We start from the raw sequence: 22,705 nt of genomic DNA on the forward strand, positions 1-22,705 counted from the left end.
ACCCTTGAAAAAATTAAGATGCACCTGGCTGGATGCAATGGCTCACACCTGCAATCCCAGCACTTTGGGAGGCTGAGGTGGGCAGATCATTTCAGTCCAGGAGTTCGAGACCAGGGTGGGCAACATGGCAAAACATCATCTCTGCAAAAAATACAGTAATTAGTGGGGTGGTGTGTGAGCCTGTAGCCTCAGCTACTCAGGAGGCTGAGAGGCAGGAGGACCATTGAGCCTGGGAGGTCAAGACTGCAGTGAGCAGTGATCACACCACTGCACTCCAGCCTGGGTGACAGAACAAGACCTTGTCTAAAAAAATAAATACATAAATAAATAAAAGATGTGCCTGAATTTAAGGACTTGCCAGAGAATAATTAACAATCTTTGAGGGAAGATAGTACAATTCAGATAATCTTTAATGTATCTTCCACATCTTCCACCGTAGGCATATAAAAAAATAAATAAAGATGAGCTCCTTTCAAGGTGACTGACTAGAAGCAGCTGGTGTGTGCTGCTCTCACAAAGAGAAGAAAGAGTGGTGAGTGGACCATCCAGGTGGACACATTGGGATTCATCAAGGAAACAATACACAGAAAACAGAAGAATGAGACAGGACAATCATTCACCCAGAAGTGGCATAGAGCCGGGAGATGGCCCTCACCATGGTTAGTAAGTGAGAGTCCCCAGGGAGTCACATTTCTGCCACAGACCTTTGCAACCCTGGGCCCAGGCGATCCCCCATGACACCCGTGCCCCACCAGGGCCTCTGGACTGACATAGACAGCTACATGGAGTGTGGGCAGAACTGCCACTCAGGCACTCATGAAATCCTTGGAGCTTTTCATCCCCAGGCACCCTGGTACCAATGGCTGCAGCTGCGGCAATGGGGGAGGACAGGCTCTCTTGCATGTCCTCAGAATAGGAACACAATCCATGGGGCTAAGCAGTGGGTGGACTGTGGGGCTCTTCTACACAGCCCGTTGCCAGACTGGCCTGGGATCCTAGCATGGTCACAAAAGTCCCACCTGGGCTCTTGAGGAACAGATCTGTACTTCCCTGGCATGGAACTCCTGGAGGGGATGGGCAGGCTGCTGTTTTTGCTGCTCCACAGCCCTCACTCCTGTTGCCCTCAGTCTTGGGAGTGAGCACAGTGATTGGGGACTAACATAGACCCCCAGCACAGTGTACAGACTTGCAGAAAAGCAGCCAGACTCTTTTCCACATGGGTCCTCACCCCTGCTACTCTTCACTGGGCAGCACCTCTTGACCTTGGCCCCCAGCACAACCAACCCGCCCCCACATGAACGCTTTGTCAGTGATGGCTCTGTGTTTCTCTGAGGAGAAAAATCCAAAAGACAATCCATAAGCCTTCTGCTATTGCAGCTGCAGTGGTATGGCCCTTACTACCTTCAGGCTGGGGAAAGAACGAAGGACTTGGTCCTTACACTGGCCCCTCCAGCACACCATCGCCACCATATGGAGAAGAGCCCAGTCTCTCTTCCCCGTAAGCCCCCACTCACCACTGTTCACCAGGCAAGGCCCCTAGTTGGGGACAGCAGAGCAGCTGTCCTACCCCCGGATGAGAATTCCCACTGCTATTGGCTCTATATTTTCCTGAGGTGGGCCTCCCAGAAGCAATTGACATCCCCTCTGTCACTGTCATGGCAGCAGTTCTGCCCTTACTGCACTCAGACTGGGGAAAGAACAAACAGCCTGAGGTCTTCACTCACACTCCTAGCACAACACAGTCATGATATGGAGAGGAGCCCAGTTGTTCCTCCTGGTGAGCCCTTGACCTCCTACTTTTCATCAAGTGAAGCCTCCAGCTTGGGCTAGCAGCGTAGCCACCCCACCCACTGGCTGAACATTCTCAGTAGCAATGGCTTGCGTTTCTCTGAAGTAGGGCTCCCAGGGACAACGGAAAGCACCTCTCCCACTGCCACTGCAGCGGTACTGCCTTGCTGCCCTTGGACTGGGGAAGGGGCAGAGACCTTGAGTGCTTAACCCACATGTCCAGGAAGTGACAGCTGCCCTAAGGAGAGGAGGCCAGTCTGTCTCCTCTGTGAGACCCCTGCCACCCTTGCGCATCACCAGGCAGGGCCTCCAGGCATGGGTTCACAATGTAGCTGCCCCAATCCCAAGCCCATCTCTCCAATTAGTAGTGGCTCTGCATTTCTCTAGGGTGGAGCCCCAAGAGACAAGTGAAAGGCCCTCTGCCACAGCAACTGCCAAGGTCCCTTCCCCTGTTGCCTTCAAGCTGGGGAGGGAAAATAAAGCCTTAGCTCGCCCCTAGCAGCAGTGTGCAGCCCAGGAGTGCCAAGGCCAGACCTTAAGCCAGCACTGGAGTGGGAAAGGGAGCCCACACTTTCAGAGCACTGAGAGGGAGCATGGCTGCAATCATGAAGAAATACAGAGGAGCCACGTGGTGGAGCAAGAGCCCACCTACTGGCCATTACACTTCAGTGCCATCTACTGGATCATAGCCCAAACTCCAACTCCAAAAATGCTTGCTAATATACCCCCCTCTGTGAAAACAACGACAAGATTTCAACAACAAAGACCCTGCACAAAACCTCGGCCCTCAAAAAACATTCAAAAAAGGAGTCTGCACTCAATTACACCACAGTTAAAGGAGCATCAGCCCACACAGATGAGAAAAAACTGGTGCAAGAGCTCTAACAACTAAACTACAGTGTTTTCTTTCCTCCAAATAACTGTACTAGTTCCCAAGGAAGGGTTCTTAACCAGGCAGAAAGGGTGGAAATGACAGAGAGAGAATTCAAAATATGGATAGGAATAAAGGTCATCAAGATTCAGGAGAAAGTCAAAACCCAATCCAAGGAATCTAACAATTACAATAAAACAATACAGGAGTTGAAAGACAAAATGGCCATTATAAGAAAGAACCAAACTGATCTGATAGAGCTAAAAAACACACTAAAGAATTCCTTAATGTAATTGCAAGTATTAACAGCAGAATAGACCAAGCTGAAGAAAGAATCTCAGAGCTCACAGGCAACATCTCTGAACTCAGTCAGACAAAAATAAGAATAAAGAAGAATGAACAAAACCTCCGAGAAATATGGGATTATGTAGAGACCAAATCTATGACTCACTGGCATCCTTGAAAGAGAGGAGGAGAAAGCAAGCAACTTGGAAAACATATTTCAGGATATCATCTATGAAGACTTCCCCAACATCGCTATGGAGAACAACATTCAAAATCAGGAAATGCAGAAAATCCCTGTGAGATTCTATATAAGAAGACCATCCACGAGCCACATGGTCGTCAGATTCTTCAAGGCCAAAACAAAAGAAAAAATGTTAAAGGAAGCTAGAGAGAAGAGGCAGATCACCTACAAAGGAAACCTCATTAGGCTAACAGCAGATCATTCAGCAGAAATCCCACAAGCCAGAAGAGATTAGGAGTGTGTATTCAGCATTATTAAGGAAAAGAAATTTCAACCAAGAATCTCATATCTAGCCAAACTTAGTTTCATTAGCGAAGGAGAAATAAGATCCTATTCAGACAAGCAAATGCTAAGGGAATTCAGTACCACCAGACATGCTCTATAAGAGATCCTGAAGCAAGTGCCAAATATAGAACAGAAAGACTGTTACTGACCACTGCAAAAGCACACTAAAAACGTAGACCATTGACACTGTAAAGCAACCACACAAATAAAGCTGCATAATAACCAGCTAACAGCACAATGACAGGATCAAATCAGCAAATACCAATATTAACCTTGAAAGTGAAGGGGCTAAGTGCCCCAATGAAAAGTCACAGAGTGGCAAGTTGGATAAAGAGCAAGACCCTGGCCAGGCAGGTGACTCATGCCTGTAATCTCAGCACTTTGGGAAGCTGACACAGGTGAATCAAGAATTCAAGACCAGTCTGGCCAACATGGTGAAACCCCATCTCTATTAAAATACAAAAATTAGCCCTGGACATGGTGGTGCTCATCTATAGTCCCAGGTACTAGGGAGGCTGAGGCGGGCGGATCAGTTGAACCCAGGAGGCAGAGGTTGCAGTGAGCTGAGATCATGCCACTGCGCTTCAGCCTAAAAAAAAAAAAAAAAAAAAAAAAAAAAAGCATGATCCAACTGTATGCTGTCTTCAACAGACATATCTCACATGGATCCATAGGCTTAAAGTAAAGGGATGAAGAAAAATCTACCAAGCCAATGGAAAACAGAAAATAGCTGGGGTTGACAGTCGAATTTCAGTCAAAACAGACTTTAAACCAACAATGATCAAGAAAGACAAAGGAAGACATTACAGAATAGTAAAGGGTTCAATACAACAGAAAGATGTTACTATTGTAAATATATATGCATCCAACACAGGAGAATCCAGATTCATAAAGCAAGTTCTTAGAGACCTATGAAGAGATGTAGATAACTGGACAATAATAGTAGTAGACTTCAACACCCCACAGACAGTATATTACACAGATCACTGAGGCAGAAAACTCACAAAAATATCCAGGATTCAAACTCAACATTGACCAAATGGACTCAATACACATCTGTAGAACTCTCCACCAAACAACACCAGAATATATATTCTACTCATCTGCACAGAGCACACACTGCAAAAGAGAAAACACAATTAGCCATAAAATAATCCTCAGGAAATCAAAAACAAACAAACAAAAACAAAATCATACAAATCACACTCTCAAACCACAGCACAATAAAAATAGAAATTATTACTTAAAAAACCCTCAAAACCATAAAATTACATGGAAATTTTTAAAAGCCCTGCTTTTGAATGACCTTTGTATAAACAATAAAGTCAAAGCAGAAATCAAGAAATTTTTTGAAGTTAAGAAGAATAAAGATACAACATACCAGAATCTCTGAGACACAGTAAAAACAGCATTAAGAGGGGTGTTTATACTGCTAAATGCCACATCAAAAAGTTAGAAAGACCTCCAATTAATAATCTCACAGCACACTTAGAAGAACTAGAGAAATCAGAGCAAGCAACCTCAAAGCTAGCAGAAGACAAGGATTAACAAAAATCAAAGCTGAATGGAAGGATATTGAGAAGCAGAAAACTGTACAAAAGTTCAACAAATATAAGAATTGATCCTTTGAAGGAATAGATTAGATAGATAGACCCCTAGTCAGAATAATAAAGAAAAAAGGGGGAAGATCCAAATAAACAAAATCAGAAATGACAAAGGTGAACACTACCACTAACCCTACAAAAATACAAAAAGCCCCTAGAAACTACTGTGAACACCTAAATGCACACGACATAGAAAACCTAGAAGAAACTGATAAATTCCTGAAAACATACAACCTCCCAATATTGCACCAAGAAGAAATTAAAACCCTGAACAGACCAATAATGAGTTCTGAAATTTAATCAGTAATAAAAAGCCTACCAACCAGAAAAATCCCAGGACCAGATGGATTCACAGATGAATTCTACCAGACATATTAAGAAGACCTGGTATAATCCCTACTGTGAATATTCCAAAACATTTAGGAGGAAGAATTCCTCTCTAATTCATTCTATGAGCCCAGCATCCTTCTGATACCAAAACTTGGCAGACAAACAACAATAAAGAAAACTACAAGCCAATATTCCTGATGAACAAAGATGTAAAAATCCTCAACAAAATATTAGCAAACTGAATTCAGCAGCACATTGAAAAGCTAAATGACCACAATCTCTTAAGCTTTATTCTTGGGAGGCAAGAATTGGTTCCATAGAGGCAAATCAATCAATGTAATTCATTATATAAACAAAACTAGAAACAAAAATCACATGATCATCTCAATAGATGCAGAAAGGGCTTTTGATAAAATTCAATGTCCCTTCATGTTAAAAACTCTCAACAAAGTAAGCATCAAAGGCACATACTCAAATAATAAGAGCCATTTATGAAAAATTCACAGCCAACATCATCCAGAATGGGCAAAAGCTGGAAGCATTCCGCTTGAAAACTAAAACAAGACAAGAATGCCCTCTCTTATTATTTTTATTAAACATACTACTGGAAGTCCTAAGCAGAATAATTGGCCAAAAGAAAAGAAAAAAAAGCATCCAAATGGGATAATAGAAAGTCAAATAATCCCCTTTTGCAGACGATATGATTCTATACCTAGAAAACCAAATAGTCCCTACCCAAAACCTCCTTGATTTGATAAACAATTTCAGCAATGTTTCAGAATTCAAAATTAGTGTTCAAAAAGTAGCATTCCTATATAGCAACAATATCCAAGCTGAGAGCCAAATCAAGAACACAATCGCATTCACAATGGCCATAAAAACAATAAAATACCCAGGAATATAGCTACGCAGGGAGGTGAAACGTGTTTACAATGAGAATTACAAAACACTGCTCAAATAAATCAGAGATGATGCAAACAAATGGAAAATCCCCCCATGCTTATGGATAAGAAGCATCAATATTGTTAAAATGGCCATAATGTCCAGAGCAATTTACAGACTCAATGCTTTTCCTATCAAACTACTAATGACATTTTTCACAGAACTAGAAAAAAAAAACTATTTTAAAATTCATGTAGAACCAAAAAAGATCCCAAATAGCAGGCAATAGTAAGCAAAAAGAAAAATGCTAGAAGCATCCTGTTACCCAACTTTAAACTATACTACAAGGCTACAGTAACCAAACATCATGGGTTTGGTACAAAAATAGAAATGTAAATCAATGGAACAGAATAGAGAGCTCAGAAATAATGCCACACGCCTACAACCATTTAGATTACCTTTGACAAAGCTGACAAAAACAAGCAATGGGGAACGGAGTCCCTATGCGATAAATGGTGTGGGATAACTGACTAGCCATATGCAGAAGATTGAAACTGGATCCCTTCCTTACACCATATACACAAATCAATTCAAGATGGATTGAAGACTTAAATGTAAAACATAAGACTATTAAGATGCTGGAAGATAATCTAGGAAATAGCATTCTGGGCATAGGCCCTAGCAAAGATTTCATGACAAAGATACAAAAAGCAATTGTAAAAACAACAACAAAAAACGGACACATGAGACCTAATTAAAGAGTTTCAGCACAGCAAAAGAAACTACCAACAGAATGATATGATTTGACTCTGTGTCCCCACCCAATTCTCATGTCAAATTATAGTTTTCTCAGTGTTGGAGGAGGGGCCTGGTGGGAGGTGATTGGATCATAGGGGCAAACATCCCCCTTGCTGTTCTCATGACAGTGAGTTCTTATGAGATCTGGTGGTTTAAAAGTGTGTGGCACTTACCCCTTCACTCTCTTCTTCCTGCTTCTGTCATGTAAGATGTGTCTTCTTCCTCTTCACTTTCCACCATGATTGTAAGTTTCCTGAGACCTCCCCAGCCATGTTTCCTGTACAGCCTGCAGAACTATAAGTCAATTAAACCTCTTTTCTTTATAAATTACTCAGTCTCAGGTAGTTCTTTATAGCAACACAAGGATAGACAAATACATAGAGTAAACACACAACCTGTAGAATGGTGAAAAATATTTGCAAACTATGCATTCAAAAAAGGTGTAATATCTAGAATCAATAAGAAACTTAAACAAATTAACAAGCAAAAAACAACCCCATTAAAGAGTGGGCAAAGACACTACTCAAAAGAAGACATACATGTGACCAACAAGCATATAAAAAATTCTTAATGTCACTAATCATTAGAGAAATGCAAATCAAAACCACAGTGAGATACCATCTCACACCTGTCAGAAGGACTATTATTAAAAAGTCAAAAAATAACAGTTGCAGCTAAGGTTGTGGAGAAAAGGGAGCACTTACACACTGTTGCTGGGAACATAAATTAGTTTAGCCATTGCAGAAAGCAGTTCAGAGATCTCTCAAAGAACTTAACACAGAATGAATGACCAGTTGATCCAACAATTCCATTATTGGGTATGTACTGAAAGGAATATAAATCATTCCACCATAAAGACACATTTATGCATAAGTTCACTGCAGCACTAATTACAATTGCAAAGACATGGAATCAACCTAGATGACCATTAATAGTGCACTGGATAAAGAAAAAGTGATAAATATACACCATGGAATAGTATGCAGTTATAAAAAAGCATGAAATCATGTCTTTTTCAGAAACATGTATGCTGCAGGAGACCATTATCTTAAGCAAACTAAAGTAGAAACAGAGAACAAAATACCACGTTCTCATTTATAAATGGAAGCTAACCATTCAGAACACATGGACACAAGGAAGAGAATGTTAGACACCAAGGCCTACTTAAGTGACGACAGTGAGAGTGGGGAAAGGATTGAAAAACTGCCTATTGGGTACTATGCTTATTACCTGGGTGACAAAATAATCTATACCTCAAAACTTCATGACATGCTATTTACCTAGATAACAAACCTGTTCATGTACCCTTGAACCTAAAATAAAAGTTTAAAATAATCCTGAAAGTAGGTAACTAAAGTTTAGAGAAAAACTATAAAGGAGATCAAGAGATAATCTAGTTAATGGAACTGAAATAAAAAGTATTCAAAATAACTCCACTTATATATTATAAAATTTAAAATATTAAAATATTAAATATTTAATAAAAATAACATTAAAATATTAATATTTAATAAAAATAGCATTAAAATAATATTATTTAATAAAAATAACATTAAAATATTAATATTATTTAATAAAAATAACATTAAAATATTAATATTATTTAATAAAAATAACATTAAAATATTAATATTATTTAATAAAAATAACATTAAAATAATATTAAAATTTTAATACTAATTTAATATTAAAATTAAAATTAAAAATTTTTAATATTAAAAATTAGGTACAACAGAATAAAGAATTAGTGACCCCAAAGATAAGTCAATAAAAATTTTACATACCGAAGCAGGGAAGAAAACAGTAACATAAAGTAAGAGATATTTGGAACATGATAAAATAGTTTGAATTATAGTTATTGCTCAGAAAGAGAGACGAGCATGGAATAGGAACAATATTTGATAAAGTATTTGTCTAGAATTTTTCAAATCAGATAAAATTATCAATTCATGTTTATAAAGCGCAGCGAAACTCATTTGGACACATATAAAGATGACCACATCTAGATATGTCCTAGTCAAATTGCTGAATATCAAAGACAAAGGGAAACATTTTAAAGCAGTTAGAAAATCATAGTATCTTCAAAGGAAAATCAAGACTGATGTTTAAATTTTTGTCAAAAACGATGGAAGCTGGAAGATAAGTGAATGATATCTTTAAAATATTAAAAGTAAATATAAACCCCTCAAAATCTATACTCTGTGAAAATATCCTTCAAAATGAAAAACATATTCTTTTATTTATTCTATCATATTCTTTTAGCATATAATAGAGACAATCATATGCTAAGGGAATTCACAACTTGCAGATCTTCTCTAAAGTGAATACTAAAGGACTAAAACAAAGGAATCCCAGGTGAAAGTACGGATGTGTGTAGGTATATGTAAATCAATACTAGGGAAAAAATACATGTAGTATCAGATTCATAAAATGTATAGTAAAATACAAGACAATGGGATGCTGAAAAATAGTACTAAATTGCTTTTGCATTTGGGGGAAAGTGGTAAAATACTGAAATTAGATAATAATAAATCAAGATTTCATTTTTTCTTATTTTGAGTTAACACGTAATATTGTACATATTTGTAGGATACAGAGTGATGTTTTGATGCATGTGTGCAATGTGTAATAATCAACTCAGAGTAGTAAGAATGTCCAGCACTTCAAACATTCAAAGTTCTCTCTTCCTGCTATTGGAAAATATGGTAGATTATGGTTAACTATAGTCACCCTACAGTGCTATGGCACACTGGAACTTTCTCTCCATCTAGACAATTTTGTGTCTGTTAACCAACTTCTAGCTATCTTCTCCTCCCTACCATTCCAAGCCTCTAATACTAAACAATTCTACCCTCTACTTTTATAAGCTGAGCTTCTTTAAGCTCTCACATATAAGTGAGAACAGGTGATATTTATCTTTCTGTGCCTGACTTATTTCACTGAACATAATGCCCCCCCAGGCTCACCCATGTTGCTGTGAATAACAAGATTTCCTTCATTTTTAGGCTTAATGGTATCCCACTGTGTATATAACACATTTTCTTTATCCATTTCTGTGTTGATGCTCACAGGTCGATTCTATTAATGATTTTCAATGATTAATTTTTAAATCTCTGTGATAGCCATATACACAAAAAATAAAAAGTTACAATTAAGAAGCAAGAAAACAATGGTGCCTTGCATGTTGATATTTTTCTTTTTCTCCAACTGCTTATTGCCACCATCTTTAATGTTTACCTCAACAGATTATTATGATGTGTTCCCAGTAGATATGCCTCATATTCACAAAAGGTATCTGGATTTTAGCATCTGCTGTCTTAGCATCTCTCCAAAGTATAACCATCATTTGTAGTGTTTGGAGTATGCTTCTCCAAGGTCCGTGAAGTTCCATTCTACTAGCACAAAATGAACAGTGAAGTTGTTGTCTTATAGGAACCACTGCTACTGAACAGATAGTTATGTCTGGAATTTCAACATACTAAATAAACCTGTGTTTCCACATAGAGGTGGGTAACGTTGCTCAAGTTACTCTCCACGTAAGCAGAACATATGTCTCAATGACAATCCACTCTCCCTTTAAAAAAAATGAAAACAGAGCTATTAGTTTTAACTTGCATACTCTTCTCTTTCTAGGACTCATGCAAATGCACAGGGTATATTGGTATGAAAACACATCAGATAGAGTGGTTTTAAACCAGGAGCAATTTTACCCCTAGGATATTGTTACCGGAATCAAATGTGTAGAGGCCAGGAATTCTGCTAAGCATTCTACAATGCACAGGACAGCTTCCCTCAACAAAGTGTTACTGGTCCGAAATGTTAATAGTGCCCAAGTTGAGAAACTATAATTACAACAATATCATGTTTTACCGTGAAATCCTTCTGGTCTAGGCTTCAGTGGATTAGCTCCACTCTTAGAGGTGGCTTTGGATTAGTTCCAATCTTAGAGGTTCATCATTCTCTTAATACAAAGACATATCTAAATGAGCCCTTCACACTAGGATTTAACTACTTCTGCTTTATCACCTGTAAGTATAAAAATATCTATACATTTTACTTATGCTTAGCAGCATTGTCATTGAGATATCCTTGTTAAATATACTATGTGAAATTAATACAATATAATAATTCAGCTAAAATTGTGTGCCCTTTCAACAAGCACTTATACTTCTTTTTGTCTATAAGCAATGGTTGATTAATTAAATTTAAGTAACATTTTGTTGAAAAACTATAATTCATTTCCAGCTATCTAAATCAATGTTTCAAAAAAGAGTAAGAAAAGTTGATAATAGGAAAACAATAGGGTGTAGTAGGTTAGTGTGCAGAATTATGGAGGGCAATAGACACTCTACATGACCTTGGAAAACTTTGTTTACACTCTGAATTATTATTTCTTTTTTGTAAAGTAAAACTATCTATTCCTTACAGCAGAGTAGGGATGGAGTTGTCTTTTAAAATAATCATTTCATAATAAAGGGACAATAAAAGCACAAGATCCCTGTGAGGAAATTTCAATTTCAGTTATCTTCAGTTGCCAGGATGAGCAAGAGGCTCACTCTTAACCCAAGGCAACTTTGAGTCATGAACTATTAGGCTTATGTGAGACGTTTACTTTTGGGATTTGATTATTCTTTGTGTATATTCTCTTTTTTCGTCTATTTCCAACTGTTTTTCTCATTTACTCTTTATCCATCCTATAACTCTTATTCACTGCTAGTTTAAACTTTTACCTTGCTTTGGATTATATACAACATAACATAGGTTTTCCAGTTTTTCTCATGACTGTTGAGCTACTGATCTCAGTATGAACTCTTTTTCTCTCTTAATAGTTTATGGTTCAACAATTTTCGAGACAAATAAATGTCACTATTCCAGCTTATATTTTAGCAAAATGTAGCATCACTGGTGACTGGCTAGTGTTTGACTGAATGTCATTGAGTCACAAATCCACAATTGAGCCATCCAGCAGAGGCCTGGGTGTGGGTAGGTGGGAAGATATGCTCATAGAACACCATTGTCTTCTCTGGCTGCCACTTGAGTGGGAAGTGGGGGGTTGTGGGTTATTGGTAGGATCACATTTTCTTGGAATTGTCTTATTAGGTATCTTTGATTATTCACAGGTATCTGGAATGACTGTTAAATGAAGTAATCTATTAAGTTATAAGTCCAGCCATACTAGTCACCCAATCAATGTTCTTTTTTTCTTATTCTTATTACTATTATCATGATGATAATAATTGTTACTGGATACATATTTTATTAAAAGCTATTATAAAAATACTTATTATGACAAATGTGTAGTTTCTTATAAAGGAGTTGGCATTTTCTTTAATGCCTAAGAATGAACTTAAGAGTACATTTTATATCCTCATGTATTTTATACCCATTGCAAATTAGAAAACTTAACAGTGTGATTATTTCATGTATTTTTTTTTTTTTTTTTTTTTGAGATGGAGTCTCACTCTGTCACCCAGGCTGGAGTGCAGTGATGCGATCTCTGCTCACTGCAACCCCTGCCTCCCAGGTTCAAGCGATTCTCCTGCCTCAGCCTCTCAAGTAGTGGGGACTAAAGGTGCATGCCACCACGCCCGGCTAATTTTTTGTATTTTTAGTACAAATGGGATTTCACTGTGTTAGCTAGGATCGTCTCAATCTCCTGAACTCATGATCCGCCCACCTTGGCCTCCCAAAGTGTTGGGATTACAGGCATGAGCCACCGCATCGGGCCTATTCCATGTATTTCTTTACCTATCCATAAGAAGTTGTGCCTACCCCTTGACACATATGATTTGTAGTAGGTGTTATTAATTTTTGATGCATTTTTAGAAATACCTCTCTCTAGATTAGTTTGTAAATATATACATAAAGAAAAGCTTTTTTCAAATGATTCTTCCAGGAAAAAAAATCAATTTCTAATTATAGAATAAAAACACAAAGGATAACTCACAGAGGAAAGAAGGCATAGCATGCTCATGTTGGTGAATAAACATTTTCATATACATAAGTCAGCCAGCTCAAAGTTGAACTGAATCCTGTAGACAGTGGAAGCAACTCCCTACAGCTATGTCTATACTTAGGAAATCCTGCTTTTATACCTACAAAGCCCTATGTTTTCCTTATTCTGCCCCTCAAAACTACTGATAGTCTGACGACCTTCTGTGGAATGTTTGCAACTTCCCTACACTGTTCTACCCACCAATCAGCCATTAGATATATAATATATAATGCAAGAGAAAATCTACTTACGGAGATCCTTCATTAGTTTATTGGCAGTTTGCAGTTCATTGAAGGAAGCTTGGGTTCTGAAGCTAGAATCTCCTTTCTTCTTATTTAGGTGTATGACATTGGCAAAGCTATGTAATCTATCTGAGATTCAGGGCTTTTTTAAACCTATCAAATAATTTGTTTTATAAAAACCAAATATATAAACATATAAAATTTCCAGCCTTCTGTAGGTTTCCTTCTTTCTACTTTTTAAGTATTTGTCTAAGAAGAAAATGTAAAACTGATATTTCTCAAAGAAAGTCTTGCCTGTTAAAAGCTGTGGGGTTCCTACCAAATGACTGTAGAAACTACCAGAGGTGAGGGTGGGTAATAGTTTGGACACAATTGCCCAACTTTATAAGTCAACAGTAATGTCTTTATGATCACAAAATCTTGACATTTTAAATATTCTCCAGGATTTTTTGAGATAGCCTCAAATCTTTTCACTTTAGTAATAAAGCTTTGTTGTTCTATTGCATTTCAAGTCCAGCTAAAGCACCAACATGAGCTAAGTGCATCACTCTTTTCATTTTCTTTTAAACAGTGAGGGCTCTGAGTAGCTATTAGTGTATTGATATGACTATCTTGTGAGTTTTATCATGGTCTTTGACATGTTTTGCTTTAAACAGATCCTCTAGATATCAACTCAAAAAGTATAACTCATAAAGGAAAAATCTACCCTTTTCGGAGAGACTTTATCATTGCTTCATTAGCCATCCTGCATTCCTAGTGTACCAAAAATGTAATAGAGTTTGTGAAAAAAATTATTTAACATTTTAAGAAAATATGCATGAAATAAAGTAGGTTACATGTTTATTTTAAATGATTATAATTCATCATACATTTCAATGATATGAAGAGAAGGAATGGCAGAATGGCATCCTACACAGACTCTTGAGTCCTATTTAATGGGTTTGAAACCAGACTTCCACCACATGCTAGCATGTTGGACAAGTCAATTCAACCCTGCTGTTCCGATTGCCTCATCTGTAAAATGGGAGCAGTTATAAGATCCATTTAATGTTATCATGAGGATCAAATGAGGTAATAATATAAAGTACTTAGCAAAGTGCTTAGAACATGGTAAGTGCTCATTAATTTCTGCTACTTTTATAATTTCTGTTAATATTAACACTAGTACTACCAGCATGCTAAATATGAGAAGTTTTTCCAAAGAACAGAAACTCAATGTATTCTAACTATGAAAGGTAAAGATTTTTCCCTATCCTTAAAATGATGTCACTTTCTTCTAGCATTATGTAGAGTAGAATTATTTGAAAATATGCTGAGATTTTAGATGTTTTATATGAATGAATATTAATCTTTCACTAAGTGCTTTATTTTTTCCAAATAATTTTTTAACTCCAAGTTTAATTTTTCACTATAGGTCATATATCCTGAGAAAATATGAATACTAATATGTCACATTATTTTTAAAATTATGACATGCGAAATAAAAAATTTCAAATTATGGCAGAATATGCACTTGATCTCAATGCCATTTTGAAATAAATGCCCGGAATTTCATTTAATGAATCCACTGTATTATCACTCTTTTTCACAATTTCTTTCTTGTGTCTCAACATTTTGTATGATTCATGAAAATGCAGGTGTATTTCTACTATAAAAAAGAAGGCATGTATACATATGTTGGTTTATACTTAGCCAAGGCCTTGAAAAAAAATCAAGGAGGTAAAATCAATCAAACACACACACACACACACCTGTATGAATAAAAAGGCGTTCGTTTGCTTGTTTGCCTTGCATTTTTTCAAGAGCTGCCTTAAGGCTTCATTTTCCCGTCTATGCAATTGATTTATCCATCAAAATTACTAGATCACTAAGCTTTTAATTTTCTAAGAATCTCTGGATTTGGCTGTATATATGCATTTGACTTCAAACATTTAATTAATGAAGACAATTAGAAACACACATATTAATTGGACTTCCAGCACTTACGTTACCTGATTTGTAATAATATAATGGTTTTAAATAATGTAAGAAACAAGATAGGTTATTTTAAAATTTCTCTTTTTCACTATTTATTAATACAATATAAAGTAATTAAAGATATGTTAAAGTATTAGCCACCTCTAATTTGTAGCAGTTTTGTAAAGTCTGCTACCTAATTCACATGTTTGGCAGGTTTATGTATTACACATGTGCAGTTTTCTCACCTGCACAATTATATGTTTTATGTAGTGTTTTTTCTTTGCTTTAACATCTATCTATGAGACTTTACTTAGATAAATATTTTAATCCAAATTTCAAATAATTACTAAAAATCAATATTTGATTAACATATTATGATCCATTGAAGTAAGCAACTAAGTCTTAGGTCTGGCGGTTGCCTCATATGTCACTACAGTCCTATATATAGCACTTACAGGGAGCTTAACTAGCATATGTGTACAATTGCCTGCATTCTATATTTTTACCCTTCAATATACACTCTACCTTTTGACATTGCGTCCAAATTTTCATATATGTTAGTATCTTTATAACTGACAGATTAAATACATTTGTTGTTTGTAACAGAAACTTTGTGAAATTATGTTCCCTTAGAGGTAAACATGCCATAAATATTCACTGCATGTTCTTGTCATCTTATCTCCTTTTCAATCTTTTTTTTTTTTAACATCACCCTTTTCCTTCTTACCTTCCCTCCACTCCTGGGGTTTATAGGTGTGTCAGCCTTAAAGCCCAGCACAGGTAGAGAGGGGAGAGGGGCAACACAATATCCCAGTACATCATAAGGTTGGATGCTGAAGGGAAAGTTGTGCTGTAGAGGACTTGGAGGCAATGCTCTGAAGCCAAGGAAGCAGACAGGTGCATGGACAAGATGGGGCCTGTGAAGGGTATGGCCAAAGAGATGCCAAAATATTTGTGAGTATACATAAGTATTCACAATGTATACTTGTACTTTGTACTTATTGTAAGTATATTGATGGTGTGGGAATCAGGTTTATCATTGTTGTCTGAGAATAGATTCATAATTATGGCAAAGAAAGATGGTTGAAAAGAACCCCAATGTGTTCCATTGAAATTATAAATATTGATATGAACTCATGAGCTTTATGTATACATACACAGACACGAATACACACAGACAAATAGAAATGGTTATATATGTATGTGTATAAAAGTATATACATAATAGACTTTTATTATTTGAAGTATTATGTTCTATAAAAGTTGCTGTGAAAATGGAATTAGCAGAAACTAAAACCATTGTTTTTAGGGAAAATATAGAGTTAGGTTCCTGTGAGGCTCTGGTCACGTTTTTGTCAGCTGATCATTACATAACCTTGTTTTAGGTGTCTTTCTGCTTAAAGACACTTTATTGAATATATATTGTTGATTCATAGTCAACAACAGCACTATAGCTCGTACCTGAATGGAGTTTATCTAACACGTTTTCTCTGTAAGTCATATCACAGGCTTCTTGCGTTTAAGAACATTAGACAGCACTTCAGCACTACCCTGGGGGTCCATTTTAAATAGCAAAATCACCAAAAAATCAAGATGTGAAAAATGTAGCACTAAACAGATCACAAAGGGGACACTTGTTTATAGTATGGAAACAAGAAGGGAGAAAATTGCCTTAGTTGATCTCAACTGGGAACACCATCATGGGGTGTCTCAAATTTTTTGTCACTTTGAGCACGTCCATGAATAAAGCAAAAGCATCATGAGTATTGATTTTGGGGTTTCAAATAAATTTTAGCAAGGAAGTGGATTCACAAATACAACACCCAAGAGCAGTAAGAATCAAACTGTATATCTGCATATCTAGCTATTTGTACATATTTCTCAGTTCCGTCTATTGGGAGGCCATAGAAGCACTGAGCACATCTAGTTTCTGGGTATTGGTATCTAAATACCATCCTCTACTAAAAGGAGCAGGCAGCCTTGCAGAAATGGCTGATTTCAAAATGGGTTCAAGAGATTCTCCTGCCTCAGCCTCCTGAGTAGCTGGGATTACAGGCATGAGCTACCACGCCCGGCCAATTTTTTGTATTTTTAGTAGAGACGGGGTTTTACCATGTTGGTCAGGCTGGTCTGAAACTCCTGACCTCAGGTGATCTGCTCGCCTTGGCCTCCCAAACTGCTGGGATTACAGGCATGAGCCACTGTGCCCAGCCTAGACATTCCTTATTATATCATTCCAGTCCTATGGTTCTCATGGGCTGTCCCATTTTCACACATGACACCATTACGTGAGCTCATTGCCCAAAGCCGAGCAGCAGACCCAGGTAGGAACATCATATAGATTTTCTGAGTATTTTAAAACTGAAATAGGGGTGCTTCCGAAGTAGCAAATGCTGTGAGTCATGAGGTCTGAGAGTTCTTAGTTATATGATCCTTAATATGTGCAAAACACATGCCAGAATTAGAGATTTCTAAACAATATCAAAGACAGGTAGATGATAGAGGTAGATTCCTGTGGTGTCTGAAATTCTTGTCCCATTGATGCTAAGGCTTAGCTGCATCCTTACTCTTCCCAAAATTTGGTTACTTAATTCCCCCATTTACCTTGTAAGCTAATAAATTTCTGCTTTGCCGAAGCCAATGCAGATGAAGTTTCTGTCATCTGCAAAAAAAAAAAAATAGTTTTGGTTAATAAAATTATCATCATCTTCATCATTCTACTTATCATAAAGAGCAAGCCTGTCAAATATTTTTGAGGTAATGAAATCTTCAGAAACTGTTTTCTTGGTTAAAATTCAGGCATATCGAGAGAATAGCTATAAAATGTAGCATTTTTGTAAATATTATGTGAAAATGTGAAATAATATTATTACTTTCCACAGACAAAGAAACAACAATTTAGAGATATTTCAGAGAAAAGAAGTAAAAATTTAATGATCTGCAAATTTTATTCCCACTGGAGTCTAAAAATTAATGAGATTACGTGAACCTGTTACAAACAGCTTTTATTTGGCAATGGTAAAATGTAAGAAACTTTAATAAATTCTCTGTTTGTTGTATATGTAGCAGAAAGATTTGTGAGGTGTTATTCTACTGCTTGTGGAATTTGCATTACTTTAGTGAAGGTATAAAATATTCAAAAATACAAAAAGTTACACAAAGTCATTTTCAATTTCATTTTCAGTGAGCCAAAATTTAAACTACCAGTCATTGTTAATTTCACTATTAATATTTAAAATTCATGGTATATTAGTGAACAGACTGCAGATGAAATAAGATGAGAAAATAAATACAGAACAATAAAACAGAATTAACTCTAAAATGCAGATAGTAAATGCTAATTAATGAAAAACATACTGCCAAAATTTGTGCAGTGGGTTCGTCACTTGTAAATGCAATGATCTTAGGCAGATTATGAAACTTCTCTGCCTCAACACTGTTATCTGTAAAACAGAAAATGTAATGTGACCAACTTCATAGTATGATTGTATTAAATAAATTAATACCTGTAAAGCTCTTAGAACAGTGTCTTGCATCCATTACATTCTCATATTAGTATTTTTCACTAAGATCATTTTTATTATGCTAATGTTTTACAAAACATTCTTGATTATTAAAATGCTCTGGGAGTTTTAAGGTTGTTTAATCACATAAATAATTGGTTCTCAGATGCCAAAATCTGCTCTAATGCTATTGCATCTTATAGTAGCACACAGAACTTGATTAAGATGGGTTATAAAATGAATTTTACAGAATAATATGTATTTGTCTATTGCTCTGTGCCAAAAAAGTGTGTATCTAACACTTATGTGGTAGAATTAATTATCTAAATTAGCTTCTGCATAAACCCACTATCATTTAGTACTCACCAAAGGGCAATTTATTGCTCTGTGATAAAGGATTCCACCGATCTTAAGAAATGAATTCACAGTTTTAATATACTTTGCCTATTGACTGGTTTTATTTTTCTTGGGGAGAGGCACATATATATTCTCATTTCCCCCACTGAAAATGTTGAGAAACTTCATTTATTATTGGCCAGTTAGGCATTTCCTTTTGTGTAGTGCCTGATTACATTTTTGTTCATGTTTCTATTGGCTTGTCTGTCTCTACATTTTTTTTTTTTAGTGTGCTGCCATTTAATGATGGGAAAAAATCAAACAAAAGAATATGTTATTAATCACATAGAACACATCAGGAAAGACTGTGTGAAAAAGTAGGGACAAAATTATCTCCAGGGAATATTTTTTATGTATAGGAATCTGTCTCCCTAGGAAGTATGTATCTGTCTGTTTTGCTGTCTGTCTATATATCTATCTATCCTATATTATCTGTCTTTTTTCATGTGTATACCTTGAAAATATCTTCTCCCACATAATAGCTTTTTATTCACTCATGTAATGATTTGTTTTAAGGGAAAAAAACTCAATATTTTCCAGTTTATCATTTTTTCACTTCTAGGTAGTACTTTTTATAGTATTTAAGAAATTATTGTCTCCCTCAATGGCATGAAGTGTGTCTATGTTATCTTCAAGAAACGGTAGACTTACATTTTGTATTTAGATCTATAGTTCATCCTAAATTGATTTTTGTGTATGGCATGACTGTAAAAGAGGCATTCATCTATGTACACACACATACATATATAAAAACTACATTGTACTTCCATTTAAATATCAAATTTCCACAGCATCATTAATTGAAAATATCATGCTATCTCCTTTGTACTTATGTATCTCCTTTGTACGTATCACTTCTATCATAAACTAACTGTATTTAAAGGGTCTGTTTCTAGATATTATTATGTTCCATGTGGTAGCATATCTAGTTTGCGTTACCACATTATATTAACAACTATAGCTTTAAAAATCTTGTATCTGTATTGTAATGCCTGCAGATTCATTCTTCTTTATCATTGTCATAACTATTCTTGCCTTTAAATTTGCATATGATTTTTAATATCCATTTGTCATTTCCAGCCAAAGAACACATGCTATAAATCTAATTGTAAGTGCATTAAATGCATGGAAGGATTTTGGAAGCAGCAACACATTAAAAATGTTGAATCCTGCTGGGCTTGGTGGCTCATGCCTATGATCCCAGCACTTTGTGAGGCCAAGGTGGGAGGCCAGGAATTTGAGACCAGCCTGGGCAATATAGTGAGATCCTGTCTCTACCAAAAAAAAAAAAATAGCTGGGCATGGTGGCACACACCTATAGTCCTAGTTACTTGGGAGGCCCGGGTGGGAGGATAACTTGAGCCCAGAAGGGGGAGGCTGCAGTGAGCCATGACAATGCCTCTGCACTTCAGCCTAGGCAACAGAACAAGAACAACTAACTCTCAAAAAAAGTTGAATCTTCCAAACAATGAACATGATGTAGCCCTCTATTAGGTAGTACTTCTTTTGCATTATTTTAATAGAGAGGTCTCACTCATCACTTATTAAATTTATTCCTAGCTGCTTATGCTTATTGGTGCAAGCATAAGTTATACCAATTGTAATTTTAAATTTTTTTCAGATATACTACATTTCTAATTGTAATCATGTTATAATGAAAATTTATTATCTCTAACAGTTTATCCATAAAATTTTTTGGATTACTACACACACCACCAACCTTCTGTGAATAATGCCAATTTATTTTCTTACATTCTAGTCATTATAAATTTAACATTTTCACCATCATATTGTTCTGACAAGGCTGTCCATTGAAATGTGAAATGAAGACAATTACAGCCTTTCCTCATTCCCTATCTTCAGGGAAGTGCTCTTACTAATTCATCAAGAATAATGATTTCTGAATAATTTTTGTACATAATCCTATTCACATTAATGAAGTGCCTATTCCTGGTTTGTTTATAGCTTCATTTTCATTATTTCTTGTAACACAAATGGTTGTTATTGAATGTTTAATTCAGTCAAATCCCTAACGTCTAATGTTTTAGAGCATAGTTGTTAGACTTAACCAGTTTAGCAATATTTGTTTTAAAGTATTTTGTCTATTTCCATTTGAAATGAGTTCAATATTGTGGTTATATCTCTTATCTATTTGTTTTCTATTTGATACATCTGCTATATATGTATTTTGTCTCTTTTCATATCCTCTTTTGATTTAATCAAATATATTTATTTCCTTCCTCTATTAATATGTTGATTAAACATTCCTGCACTTTTTATAGCCCAGAAGTTGAAATAGATGATATTGCATCACATATTCCTGAATAATTAGAACCTAATAGAAATCTTTACTTCAACAACTCCTTGATTTTTCTATAACCTTAGAATTCTTAATGCTTTCTCTTGTGTCATTACTCTGCATTTTAATCATATGTAAATATTTAAAGCCAAAGGCATTCATTCTTATTATAATTATAACTATTCTTTTGAATTGATATTTACTTAATTTTATCCACATATTTAACCTTTTGGATATTTGATGGGTTTATCTAAAATACTTTTTCTTTTTTCCAAAGAATCATTTTAGTATTTCTTTTAGTATTGGTGTATTAGCAATGAATTCTTTGTTTTTGTTGTCAATTTTTTTCTCCAAGCCCTTTAAAGATCTTGTTCCGATGAGCAGGGAGAGGAGCCAAGATGGCTGAATAGGAACAGCTCCGGTCTACAGCTCCCAGAGTGAGCGACGCAGAAGACGGGTGATTTCTGCATTTCCATCTGTGGTACCAGGTTCATCTTACTAGGAACTGCCAGACAGTGGGCGCAGGACAGTGGGTGCAGCGCACTGTGCATGAGCTGAAGCAGGGTGAGGCATTGCCTCACTCAGGAAGCGCAAGGGGTCAGGGAGTTCCCTTTCCTAGTCAAAGAAAGGGGTGACAGATGGCACTTGGAAAATCGGGTCACTCCCACCCGAATACAGCGCTTTGCCAACGGGCTTAAAAAACGGTGCACCAGGAGATTATATCCCGCACCTGGCTCGGAGGGTCCTACACCCACGTAGTCTCACTGATTGCTAGCACAGCAGTCTGAGATCAAACTGCAAGGCGGCAGCGAGGCTGGGGGAGGGGTGCCTGCCATTGCCCAGGCTTGCTTAGGTAAACAAAGCAGCCGGGAAGCTCAAGCTGGGTGGAGCCCACCACAGCTCAAGGAGGCCTGCCTGCCTCTGTAGGCTCCACCACTGGGCGGCAGGGCACAGACAAACAAAAAGACAGCAGTAACCTCTGCAGACTTAAATGTCCCTGTCTGACAGCTTTGAAGAGAGCAGTGGTTCTCCCAGCACGCAGCTGGAGATCTGAGAACAGGCAGACTGCCTCCTCAAGTGGGTCCCTGACCCCTGACCCCTGAGCAGCCTAACTGGGAGGCACACCCCAGTAGGGGCAGACTGACACCTCACAGGGCCGGGTACTCCTCTGAGACAACACTTCCAGAGTAACGATCAGACAGCAGCATTCGCAGTTCACGAAAATCT

At 36.7% G+C, this 22,705-nt stretch overlaps 2 long non-coding RNA genes across 3 annotated transcripts in view; one reads left to right on the forward strand and one right to left on the reverse strand.

The window, feature by feature from the left end:
- LINC02334 (long intergenic non-protein coding RNA 2334) overlaps window positions 1-22,060 on the forward strand; it is a 131,124-nt gene extending 109,064 nt beyond the window's left edge. The window contains exon 4 of one of the 2 annotated variants that reach the window (XR_941880.4): window positions 21,834-22,060. This is a non-coding gene — a long non-coding RNA (long intergenic non-protein coding RNA 2334). Of the gene's footprint in view, window positions 1-439; window positions 6,549-21,833 lie in introns of those variants that run through there. The other variant, XR_941877.3, reaches the window with a different exon arrangement.
- LINC00571 (long intergenic non-protein coding RNA 571) overlaps window positions 7,306-22,705 on the reverse strand; it is a 92,416-nt gene continuing 77,016 nt past the window's right edge. The window contains exons 4-6 of the long non-coding RNA NR_047500.1: window positions 18,638-18,723; window positions 17,885-17,942; window positions 7,306-7,370 (exon numbers count right to left, since the gene is read on the reverse strand). This is a non-coding gene — a long non-coding RNA (long intergenic non-protein coding RNA 571). The remainder of the gene's footprint in view (window positions 7,371-17,884; window positions 17,943-18,637; window positions 18,724-22,705) is intronic.

This window comes from Homo sapiens, chromosome 13 (genome assembly GCF_000001405.40).
Source record: "Homo sapiens chromosome 13, GRCh38.p14 Primary Assembly".
NCBI classification, from domain to species: domain Eukaryota; kingdom Metazoa; phylum Chordata; class Mammalia; order Primates; family Hominidae; genus Homo; species Homo sapiens.